Here is a 12,112-nt window from a genome sequence, read left to right as displayed (position 1 = left end):
CCCGCGGGAGTCAGAGCCCCGGGAAGCGCCCCTGTCCTTCGGGCAACCCGCGCGGACCCTGCCCTTTCCCCCCCACACCCGCGACCGCGTCCCCGGGGCATCGCGCGCCCACGCAGGAGCCGGACCCGCACAGCTGCCGCCTCACTTACCTCAGCACCGGGGCGCCGGGCTGGCGAGAGCCTCGGGTGCGGCGCCGGCACAGTCCGAGGGGCCCGGGGCGGCGGCGAAAGCTCCCTACTTGCAGCCAATCCTGGCGTCGAACCCCGGGCTCCGTCTGGCGCGGCGCTGCCCTCCCTCCCGGCGCTCGCGGCGGCTGGAAAAACCTGGCGCGCCGGAGTTCGGGCTGCCGGCTCCTTAGCCGCGGGGCGGGGGAGACGCTCGGGGAAGGGGAGAGGCGCGGGCGGGTGGGAACGGGCGGGAGACGAGCGGGGACGGGGAGACGCGCCGGAGGCCCGGAGCCCGCGCATGCTCAGTGCGCGGCCGGAGGAGGCGAGCGCTGGGGACGCAGCACCTGCCCCGCGCGGCCGAGAGGCGGCAGCCCCAGGTCCCCAGCGCGCGAAATTAGTAAAGGGCGCCTGGCCCGATTCTCAGGCAAGAGGAGATTATCAGCCGGATTCCCGTGCGGGGACGTAGGGGTTGCGTTGTTCAGCGGCCAGGGATGCGCCGAGGCGATGTCTCCTCCCTTTACAACCCGAGTATCGGGGCACGAGGAGGCGCGACCTTCCTGGGTACCCAAACCTCTGGCCTCCGGGAGACGCGGAATTCGGGGGATCGTTAAGGCGCCCTGGCCAGGGAAACAGATGCTTCTGCGTCTGGGCTGAAAATTGCTGAACCGGGGAATGTGGGTGGGCGGGTGGCATTGAACTTAGGCCAGAAGAGGGGGCTTTGGTAGGTTTTTACCTGCCTGTCCTTAGGCGGAGGACACTGGCTGGACAGGCTGCGTTACACACCTGAAGTCTCATCCACGCAAAGTGCTTTCAGGTTGGAATGTGGGGCGGGGGCGGGGGGAGGTCAGAGGGAACAGTTGCTGTAAATTAGGTACAAGGATCAATTTGTGGTGTGTTGTGCGCGGGGGTGGGGCATGTCGAAAGCCTTGTTATTCGAAAGAATGTGCTTTGAACGACGTTGCCACGGTCATTCTACATTATGAATCTACTGTTTCCTTGCAGAAGTGGCTCCCTTCGCCGCAACTCCACACCTCGGGGTAACCGTAGAGATTGGCAGCAATGCCCCAGCCCCTCACCAGCACTGTGCAAAGTGACTTTGACAGGCAGAGAAAAGCCAACCCAGTCGAATTCGTCTGGAAAGCATTCCAGCAACCCAGAGAGGAGCCTCTGTTTCTCTCTCTGGGAAAAAGCCCCAAGGGTTTTGCTGAACCCAGGTCTTCCTGCTCATCTCTCAGCAGTTCAGAGCTACATAAACAACTTCTGACCATTTACGCAATCATGTAAACCTACCCTGACATCTCCACTATGTGGAAAAGATGTTAACTGGAAAACTATTTTTAAACTACTGCAGTAAGCAAATAAACATCCAACTCCAACATATATATGCAGCAGCCTTATTAGTTCATTCAGTGTTGGTTTGGTTTGTTTGTTTTGTCTTCTGCTTTTTAGAATTAATTATTATCTTTATAATTCCTGTTCGAGAAGTGGGCAAAACCAGGCTAGTGATAGGTATTGTTGTGGTCAAATTTTTCATCACTTGAAATTCCATGACTTTCATGATTGCTGAGATTAATGCTAAATAAAGAAGTTACCCCCCCGCCCCCACCCCACCCCAACCTCCCCACCAAAGTTTCCTGATTACTTAAACTTGGAGAGAAATTTTCAGGCTTTTTCCTCCCTCCTTGCCTGGTATGTGTCTGTAATAGAGGTACTTTTGCAAAACTGGAATGTTGGTGATGCAGGTGTTTTCCATGGTAAACAGCCACTGAGGATCAATGGTTCCCAGGTTCCCACTCACTTTGAAGGCTTTTGTGCTTCTGCCGGAACTGTGACTTTTACTACCTGTACTATGTATGATTTTTTTTTACATTGATTATTTCTCTGCAACTAGTCAATTAAAAGTACATATATATAACTTTTAGTAAGACTGTTTATCAAAATATGCTTCACCAGAAGTTCTCCAGAAAATATTCCTGTGTAGTCATGCATACTCCTAACACATTAAAGGGAAATGTCGTGTTTTAGACTGGACACAGAATTTCAGAAAAGAACAAAGAATAAAATATGCTGTCACATTCTCCCACTGGGACTATACATTGAAGCAATTTTCAAAGTTTTATGACAATTTCAGGCAAAGTCCCTTAACTGTGTTTCTAAATTTCAAATGTACATATTTTGTTTCCATTCTCCCCTTTGGCCCTTATTCTGTGCCTGCTATATGCTAGGCATTGTCTTCTAGTAGATTCTGGGAAACAAACTAAACATGACCAAGACTTGCTCCACAGTTCACCATGTAGTTAGGAAAACAGACATTGTGTATCTGGAGAGACAGATTTGGGTCGTGTTGAGGGGATATCAGTTAAACGTTAAGTTAGGAGGAGGCATTTTTTCTTTTCACCAACACACCCCCACACTGATCCAGTGCTAAGCTTGTTCAGTCCCTCCCCAACATTTTCTCTAGAACAGCAGCTAGTTTAAAATGCAGCCAATAATCCAGTCCCTTTTTTCCATCCTGCAGCAAAGAAGCGATGCTCAGCTGCCACCTCTGCCAAGATAGAAAGCCTCTTGCGGAAGCTCCCAGGATTGGGGAGTGTTCCTAATAGACTCAACCCCTGTCAGGGGACAGAAATGGTTTATTTTGATGACAACAGCCTCACACGTGTGTCTCTACATATCCAGGACCCCGACTGCGTGTCCGTTTCTTGATCAGGGGACCTGTGATTGGGATTCTCTGGAGGGGAATGTTCCAAACGAATCAATTAACGCCCCCAGCAGCAAGTTCAATACCACTGCACTGAGACCCAGCTCTGTATCATTGCATGAATGAATTACTGGTGCTCATGTAATTTGCAAATAATCATCATTCTAACACAGTGGAAAATTTCTCCTGCCCGTTTAGCCTGAGTAGCAGCTGAGCAGAGAGCTGCAATAACCCTCACAACACCCTCCAAAATAACTATTTACACATATGTGAAGTTTTACATCCAGGTCTTTTAATATGGGAGTATCTACATAGACACAAGGTCACCTCTTACACTCATTAAACCAATTGAATGAGGACTGATAACTCTTAAGGGAAATCAACGCTGAAACCGCTTTTGACTTTTTGGAGACATGAATGGAATACATCATCAGGTTTTACTCAGCATGCAACCGTTGTGCAAACTCCAGAAAGGGCATCTCTCTGTCCCACTCCCCCATTACCCCTGCCTTATTCCTTCTCTACACATCTGAAGATTTGATAAGTGGGGATTTACTGTAAGAGGAGGAAAGAGGAAAAGCATCACAGGAAAAGAAATACCTCTTTTCTGACCACATCTGATTTGATGCTATTTTCTCCTTACTCCTGGCATCCAGTGGGATTTTAAAAAACTCATATATGCCACCTTTCTTTGTTCTAAATGACTTGAATAAGGTCGTTCAATGGCAGGAGCGACTCAATCAGATAAAAATGTGCAGGTTTTATAATTACGGTTTTACTTGTTTAATGTATAGCTACCTGAATAGATCTTCAAGCATAAAGTAGCAATTATCCCATCCCTGATTTTAAAATATAAACTCAAGTTTGCTTTAATTAAGTAGATAAATCAGTATTTAAATAAACAATTGTATCAAGAAGAGCTTTGTGTTCAGTTTCGAACTGGAGTATAATAAAGTAGAACTCAGCTAAGGACTTTCAAACCAGCCTTGCAAAGCTTCCTTCTATGCAATTGTTTTAGGTGACTGATTGACACTTAAGCTTTAAACTAAGGACATTGGACTAATAATGGGCCCATACTGGGATAATGATAATTAGCACACAAAAGCACAGTTAATTGCCATGAAGGTTGGACACAGACTGACAGATAGAGTCAAAGTAAACTAGAAACCTGACACCCCAGCCAAGATTCCTTTATAAACGTGGCTGTGAGACACCCACTGAATTTAAACATAATAAGGTGGAATTAGGGACCAATCAACTGTTTTCTTAGCCACACGTTTTCCAGATTTTTTTGGATTCTTTATACAAAATCCAAAAATAATTGTTCCAAAGGTCTATTAGTTGCAAAAGTATTTATAGTTGATTTCTGATGTCCTCAGTAATTATGTTCTATAAAGTCACTGCAAACACTGGAGACAATAAAGGGTTATGTTCCTGACAGCCTCTGGTAACAAGATTTTCATCAACTGATAAAGATACCTTCTTTAATATATACTGTTGATTCATTAACATAGAACTCATGGCCTGCAGCACTGTAATTCTTGCCTGAACAAAACTTATCTAACACATGTATTTTCTCTGTGAGGCACATCACAGCTTTCTTTTGCTTAGGAATGCTAGACAGCACTCCAGCACTGTGCTCGAGGCCATTTTAAGCAGCAAAATCACCAACAGAAAAACCCAAAATTTGAGAAACATGCACTAAATATACTGCAAAAAGGAGACTTTTTTAGAATATGAGAGCTGAAACAAGAACACAGAGCATCACTTTGTTTGATCTAAGCTGGGAATGTGTGCATTGGGCAACTACAATTTTTATTCTCTGTGCATCTACAAATACCTCTGTGCGTCTACAAGTGTCTACTCAAGTGCCTTAAGTATTGACTTTGGAGTTATAAGTAAATTTCAGTAAGTGGGCAAATTCACAAATATGTTATCTGTGAATAATGAGGGTCAACTGTACCAAATGTCTCCTTTAAACGGCCACATCCGCCCATATGGTATGCGATTCAATTTAGAGACATTCAATTTATACAGAATTCATCAAATCATTTATCTTTTCATCTTATCCTAAACAATTTACATTGTATTCACATAACTGTAATTACATATTTTCTTAAATATTTTCATTTTGTTCATGTTTTTAATATCAGTTTCTTCATATTCAATGTGTCCTGAACTTTTCTCTATCATTCAATAGTTATATATCCCCTCACTTTTAAAAGCTGCTTAATATTCCATTTCAGAATATACTACAGATAATCAGTTCTCTATTGTTGAGCATTCAAGTTGTTTGTGTTCTGCTATGATAAATAACTCATTGATAAATACACTGATGTTAAATTTTACACACATTTTAAATTATTAACTCAGAATAAATTCCCAGAACTTGATCTACTAGGTCAGAAAGGGTATTAGTCCATTTTCACACTTCTAATAAAGACATACCAGAGACTGGGTAATTTACAAAAGAAAGAGGTTTAATTGGACTCACAGTTCCACGTGGCTTGGGAAGCCTCACAAGCATGGCGGAAGGCAAGGAGGAGCAAGTCACATCTTACATGGAGGGCAGCAAAGACAGGAGAGAGCTTGTGCAGAGAAACTCTGGTTTTCAAAACCATCAGATCTGGTGAGACACATTCACTATCACAAGAACAGCATGGGAAAGACCTGCCTCCGTGATTCGATTGTCTCCCACTGGGCAGCTCCCGCAACACATGAGAATTATGGGTGCAGACAGGGAGTCAAACCATATCAAAAAGTCTTGTGACTTTCCTCATTCATAATTATTAGATTCTTTCTGGTAGATATCCATGATCAACAATTAGAGGTAATGAGGGCTCTAGGCCTCATCCTCATCACCCTCAAAATAATGTAGTAAATTGTAAGAAGAGATAATTCAAGGCTAAATTCTGCACACATAACAACATAGCAGACATTAAAAAGCAGCTATTCAAACTGTAAGCTCAATAAAGTCCCAACTCCTCTGTCCTTACAGTTTCTCCAATAGCCTTTTGAATCAAAGATTCACCAGAGGCAAATGCGACAATATTGCAAGGGCAGGATTCAATTAAAGTCTTACTTGGAGTCAGGCAAAAAAATCCTCTGAAAACTGCTCAACACAGAACTGATCGGAATCAAAATCACAAAACATCATTCCTAAGATTATAAGTTATTCGGCTCACCAGATTTTCCTTCTGTGCTATGCAAGGGCAAAACTCACTGTGCAGTATTTCTAGCCAGACCCATATCTTAAACACCAATCTTTTCACCAGAGAAAATAATCATTCACCAGTGATAATAATCATTGCTATGTTCAATTGTGCCAATTAGCAAGGCTTGTATTGTTGATAGTAAATGCTGTTAATTGAATCTCAAGAGAGTTTCAGATAAGACGTTTACAGATGCTACCTGCCCTCTGCAATATGTATTCCTGATTAGGGCTCTGCAAATGTTAACAGCAGTACCCTTACAGGTTAAAAACAATACACACGAAAACACATGCACGCACACAGCCATCAGCCATACATCACACTATATATACCGTCTTTAAATAAATTAAATGCAACATGGAAAGGTTATATATGTTTTTAATATGATATTTATTCATTTCGCCAAAGTTTGTGTCAATTTACTCTCTCATCATAGTGTATTTTTTCAGTTCTTTGCTGAGTATTGTAAGTTTATTTATATATTTTCTAATTTGTGGACATAAAGTGTTTCTTGTTTTCCTTTTTTAAAAAATTCTAGTGAGGTTAAAGATTTTTTTATGTTTATGTGTTATATGCATTTTATGAATTGCCTCTGTGTTCCTTATTCATTTATTTGAGTTTTCATCTTTATCCTAGAGATTAGTCAAAGATTTCAGAATATTTAAGGTAGTAAACTTTTATCCGTTGAAAATATTTCTTTCTATTTGCCTTTTAACTTTAGAAATCTGTACTCCCAGCACTTTGGGAGGCTGAGGCAGGTGGATCACCTGAGGTCAGGAGTTTGAAACCAGCCTGGCCAACATGGCGAAACCCCCTTCTCTACTAAATATACAAAAATTAGCTGGGTGCGGTGGTAGGCACCTGTAATCCCAGCTACTCAGGAAGCTGAGACAGGAGAATCTCTTGAACCCGGGAGGTGGAGGTTGCAGTGAGCCGAGATCATGCCATTGCACTCCAGCCTGGACAACAGAGCGAGACTCCATCTCAAGAGAAAAGAAGAAAGAAAGAGAGAGAGAGAGAAAGATTTTTTACATTTTTATATAATCAATTTAGTAGTTTTTCTTTACATTTCTATCTTTGGTGTCATATATTTAAAGTATATTCTTGGGTTCTGACATATGGAATCAAAATGTAAGGAGTCCAGTGGACCCACTCCCAAGGAAAACAAGCTAAGTGGAGGTGAAAATTATTTAAACACACACACATTTAAAAACTCTGGAAGTGGTTTTAAGGACATATATATCAATGAAGAAATATTTATTCAAGAAAATCTAGTAAAACTCATCAAGAACGGTGAGAGTCTGTGGCATTTGTTCCACAACCTTCTCCCTGCCAGCTCAGCACGGCAGAAACTCCACTCCAGGTGAGCACAGCCAATAACATAGTAGTACCCTTCACTCCCCAGGCAACCCCAGAACCCAGTAAAGGGAATGTGGCATCTTTCTGGGAAGGACATGCCTTTAGCATTTCCTGTCCTCCCCACAATTACCTGTTGCAGAGGCTAAATATCAGGAGAGTGTGGCCAGGAGGTCAAGGCTACCTTCTTTCACTCAGCCCTCATTCATAGAACAGGGAGATTCTTTCTAGCCAATTGCCCTAAACATAGCTAATTTGTAAGGAGAAGGTTCTGTGTCAAGAGGTACGCCTAGAATACCAGAGGCTGCTGCCCCCACCAAGATTCCTTCTAAATCTAGGTTGTCATCAGAGAGAAGCATATGACTGTCCCCACAACTAATTCCAAAGCCATGGCTCAGAGATTTGGTCCAGGGGAAGAGATAGGCCATAAGAAAACAAAAAAATAAACAAAAAAACTGACTTGACTTTCAACGGAGTGTAGAGAAGTTCAATTTTAAGGATCTCAAAATCAAAGGAGGTTTTGGTAGAAAGCAATTAGGAAGAGGATGGTACCTTCATGAGGGATTTAAGTTAAACCACAAACCAGTAAGCTTATGAGAGAAAAAAAAGAGAGCTAAGAAGAGCCTTCTTTGGGTCCAAGCAAACCTCAGACATTCATCTCAAAATTACCCCATAAAGGAACCCAAGTTTAATTGAATTGTTTTCAGTCTAGGGAGCAATTTATGCTCCAGGGCATTGTATAAACAATAGATCAATCAGTTGGGAATTAGTAGAGCTTAACAGCTGGGTATGATCATGGAAAAAGAGCCTGGAAGACAGCCCTTCTAAAAGCACTGTATTGGAGGCTGACTGTGCACATGTCAGCCTGCACCCTCTGAGGAGCAAAATCAGAGTCTTCATACTGTGAGGGAAATAGACCCTATTCTAACAGCCCAGCAAGTGACTATACAACTAAACATGCAAACTACAATAAACATGTGAGGCAGAAGGGGGCCCTCCAGAGTTGTAACAATATATTATCTAAAATTAAGTTTTCAACAACAAATTATGAGACACGCAAAGAAACAGGAAAGTGTGACTCATACAAGAGAAAAATAAAAGCAGGCAACAGAAACTACCTGTGAGAGAAACCAGATGTCAGATTCAGCAGAAAAAAGAAAAGAAAACCTTCAAAGTAACTATTATAAATATGTTCACAGAACTAAAGGAAAGAATGATTAAAAAAGTAAAAGAAGACATGATAACCATGTTGCTTCAAATACAGAATGTCAGCTGTATTTGACATTCATATCAGAATGTGGCTCACACCTGATATCCCAGCACTTTGGGAGGCTGAGGTGGAAGGATTGCTGAGCCCAGGAGTTCAAGACCAGCCTGAGCAATACAGTGAGACCACTATCAGTACAAAAGTAAAAACTAAAAATAAACATAAAAAATTAGCCAGGGTTGGTGGCGCGCCTGTAGTCCTAGCTACTCGGGAGGCTGAGGTGGGAGGATCACCTGAGCCTGGGAGGTCAAGGCTTCAGTGAGCCATGATGGTCCGTCCCACTGCACTCCAGCCTGGATAACAGAGCAAGACCCTGTTTCAAAAACAAAAAAGAACCCCACCAACAAAAACAAATAGAGAATGTCCATAAAGTGATAGAAATTATTTTCAAAACAACCAGTGATTTTTCTGGAGTTTAAAAGTAGAGTAACCAAAATGAAACTTGTACATAATATTCAAAGCAACATTATTCACAATAGCCAAAAAGTAGAAGCAACCCCAATATCCATCAAATGATGAATAAGTATGGCATATTCATACCATGGAATATTATTTGGCTATAAAAAGTAATAAATTAATGATACATGATACAATGTGTCTGAACCTTGAAAACTTTATGCTAACTCAAATAAGGCAGTAAAAAGACCACATCTTACATGATTCCATTTATATAAAATATCCAGAACAGGGAAATCTGAGACAGAAAGTAGATTAGTGGTCACTTACGGCTGGGGGTTTGGGGAAGACAAGGAGCTAGGAGAATGATAGCTGAAGGGTACAAGTTTTATTTTGAGTGATGAAAGAATTCTGCAATTGATTTTAGTGATGGTTGCACAACCTTGAGAATATACTAAAAACCGTGTGTGTGGTGTGTGTTTTATCTTAACAGAGCTGTTACCAAAAAAACTATTCTCAATTCAAGGAGCATAAATAGCCACTTATCTTTTCTCCTACCATATTTATGCTTTTATTTTTTAAATAGTCATCTTTAATTCTTCTGGCAATAACTTTTGCTTTATTGGTGATTTTTGTTTTTTTTTAACTAAGCAATTAACTGGTTGTACCAATATCATTGTATATGGTGGTTTAGCCATAACAATATCAATTCTACTTTTGCAAAAGAAATAAAGGTGTTTTTGAATTTTATGAAAAAAGTGCTAATTAAAAGGAACACAAGATACTAAAAGGAATAACTTCAAGAAATAGCACTTGCGGATGTGAGGGCAATCTGGTTGCAACATCTGTCACCCCATTATCACCAGGGTTGATTCAGCTGATATGGCTGGCTAGGCGGGTGTCCCCTTCCTCACGGCTCCATGTGTGTCCCTCCAGAAGCTGTGCACTTGGTGGAAGAGGATGACCATACCACGTAGAGGAGGACCGGTCTTCCGTCAAGGGTATACGAGTAGCTGCATTCCCCTGCTAGAACCTCCAAACAAGCTCTCAAGAAATAGCACTTGCCTGGAAACATTTTACTTAAAAATCCTGCTTTGAGGAGGAATAAGTATGAAATAAACGGGTGACTTAACTCTTCAAAGAAAAGAGTCTTGCGAATAAGTTGAGAGTCACATTACTCTCATTAAAGTACCGTGAGAGCAAACTGATGAGACAGTAGTAAGGGCAAGAGAGGGGTTGGGGGATCAGGTAACAAGGCATTTGCTGCTGAAATTAAAACGACATCAAGTCATGTATATTCTATTTTTCTAAGTAATTTGCTTTTCAACGAATCTGAAATGCTAATTTCTTATTTGATAAAATATAACATGCATTTAATATATATCCAAGTTATTATATTCTTGTAGACATATGTTAGTGTCATGTTTACTAATTATATATATATATTTAAAATATTTGTTAGGACAAGAAACCTTTTGATTCTTCTTTCACTGTAAATTATTGGCTATTTTTGTCAATTGATTCTTTGGAATAAATATTAGACTAATTTTGTAAAGTTAACAATTATTATTGATATTTTTATTTGAATTGCTCAAGATACAGAAAACTAATAATGATAGTAATAGCAAATATACATTTATTTAGTGTTTTTGATGTGTCAGATGATAAGTTTAATCTTTATATACTCTGTATCAATTTATCTTTTTAAGACCCCTATAGGGTAGGTAGGTTGTTTGGGCATGTTTGTGTGCGTGTGTGTGTTTAACTTTTTAAATTGTGAAATAAACACATATAGGAAAGTGCATAAGCATTAATTGGCTGGGTGCGGTGGCTCATGCCTGTAGTCCCAGCACTTTGGGAGGCTGAGGTGTGTGGATAACCTGAGGTCAGGAACTCGAGACCAGCCTGGCCAACACAGTGAAACCCCATCTCTACTAAAAATACAAAAATTAGCTGGGTGTGGTGGCATGAGCCTGTAGTCCCAGCAACTCAAGAGCCTGAGGCAGGAGAATTGCTTGAACCCAGGAGGCACAGGTTGCAGTGAGTCTAGATCGCGCCACTACACTCCAGCCTGGGCAACAGAGTAAGACTCCGTCTCAAAAATATAAATAAATAAATTAAAAATAAAAATGAAAAAAACAAAGAAAAGAAAATTGCATAAACATAAATGTAGAGATCAACAAATTGTTACAAATTGAACATTTGTGCAACTAGTAAGTTTATCAACAAATAGAACATTTTCAAGACCCTGAAAGCTTCTTCATACCCTCTTCCACTTGCTAGTCCATCCTAAACAATGTACTCCACCACATTATTATTTGTCCTGCCTGCTGTATGTTCTTTTCTTTCCCTCTTTGTCTTTTCTTGGAATAGTTGTTTTTATCAATCAATTTCTCCCTTTATTAGTTTGATAGTTGTGTCTTCTTTTATTCCTCTTTTAAAGTCACCCTAGAGATTACAAATGCATCCTTGATAAATTAAGTTTAATGTTCCCTGGAACTTTTACGCTTTCTCCAGTAACTCAAGACACTTAGAATATTTTAACTCCATATATACTCCTTCAAACTTACTGCTTTTAGAATTGTGATTCTAATATCTCTCTTCTTTCTCCCTCTCTCTATCTATCTAACTGGTACCTATTTATTTTCCTATGTATCTATCAGATACACTGAAGAACTATTGCTACTGTTTTATGTAGTTATTACGCATTTATATTTACCCACCTATTCACCCTTTGATTCTCTTCATCTTTCCTGCATCTCTTATATTTTAATCTAGATTTATTTAGAATTGTCAGTGTTAAGAATATTCTGTTGATTCGTTCTTGCTTACATTACTTTTCTGAAAATTTTTAAATTTTTCCTTTGTTTATAAATTATATATTGGCTGCACTTGGGGTTGTATCAGTTCTCTATTACTCTAGCAAAAAAATTCAAAACTTACAGGTTTAAACAACACTTTTATTTGCTGAGATTCTGTATGTCAGCAGTTTGGCTTGATTCTTCTGCAAGTC

General features: G+C 40.5%; 1 protein-coding gene, 1 long non-coding RNA gene and 1 pseudogene across 10 annotated transcripts in view, besides 1 other annotated feature; 2 read left to right on the top strand and 1 right to left on the bottom strand.

Moving 5' to 3' along the window:
* The window catches only part of CNTN4 (contactin 4), a 959,094-nt gene extending 958,832 nt beyond the window's left edge, over nt 1-262 (bottom strand). For all 9 annotated transcript variants that reach the window (XM_017005783.2, NM_001350095.2, XM_047447536.1 and 6 more), the window contains exon 1: nt 150-262. The gene's annotated coding sequence lies outside the window, so the exon portion shown is untranslated. The remainder of the gene's footprint in view (nt 1-149) is intronic.
* Nucleotides 873-1,547, top strand: LOC124909338 (uncharacterized). Its single transcript, XR_007095785.1, has 2 exons — nt 873-981; nt 1,170-1,547. It is a non-coding gene; the product is annotated as an uncharacterized LOC124909338 (long non-coding RNA).
* Nucleotides 3,699-4,306: an enhancer, noted in NCBI's record as "NANOG hESC enhancer chr3:2136506-2137113 (GRCh37/hg19 assembly coordinates)". NCBI's record gives its function as "activates a minimal SCP1, AML or CMV promoter by ChIP-STARR-seq in primed H9 embryonic stem cells {active_cell/tissue: H9 hESC(primed)}" and the evidence as "EXISTENCE:reporter gene assay evidence [ECO:0000049][PMID:30033119]".
* On the top strand, nt 9,917-10,151 carry RN7SKP144 (RN7SK pseudogene 144; annotated as a pseudogene).

The sequence above is a fragment of the Homo sapiens genome, chromosome 3 (assembly GCF_000001405.40).
Source record: "Homo sapiens chromosome 3, GRCh38.p14 Primary Assembly".
Lineage (NCBI taxonomy): Eukaryota > Metazoa > Chordata > Mammalia > Primates > Hominidae > Homo > Homo sapiens.
Note: the sequence above shows the minus strand (reverse complement) of the source record. Positions and strands in the feature narration are given on the sequence as shown.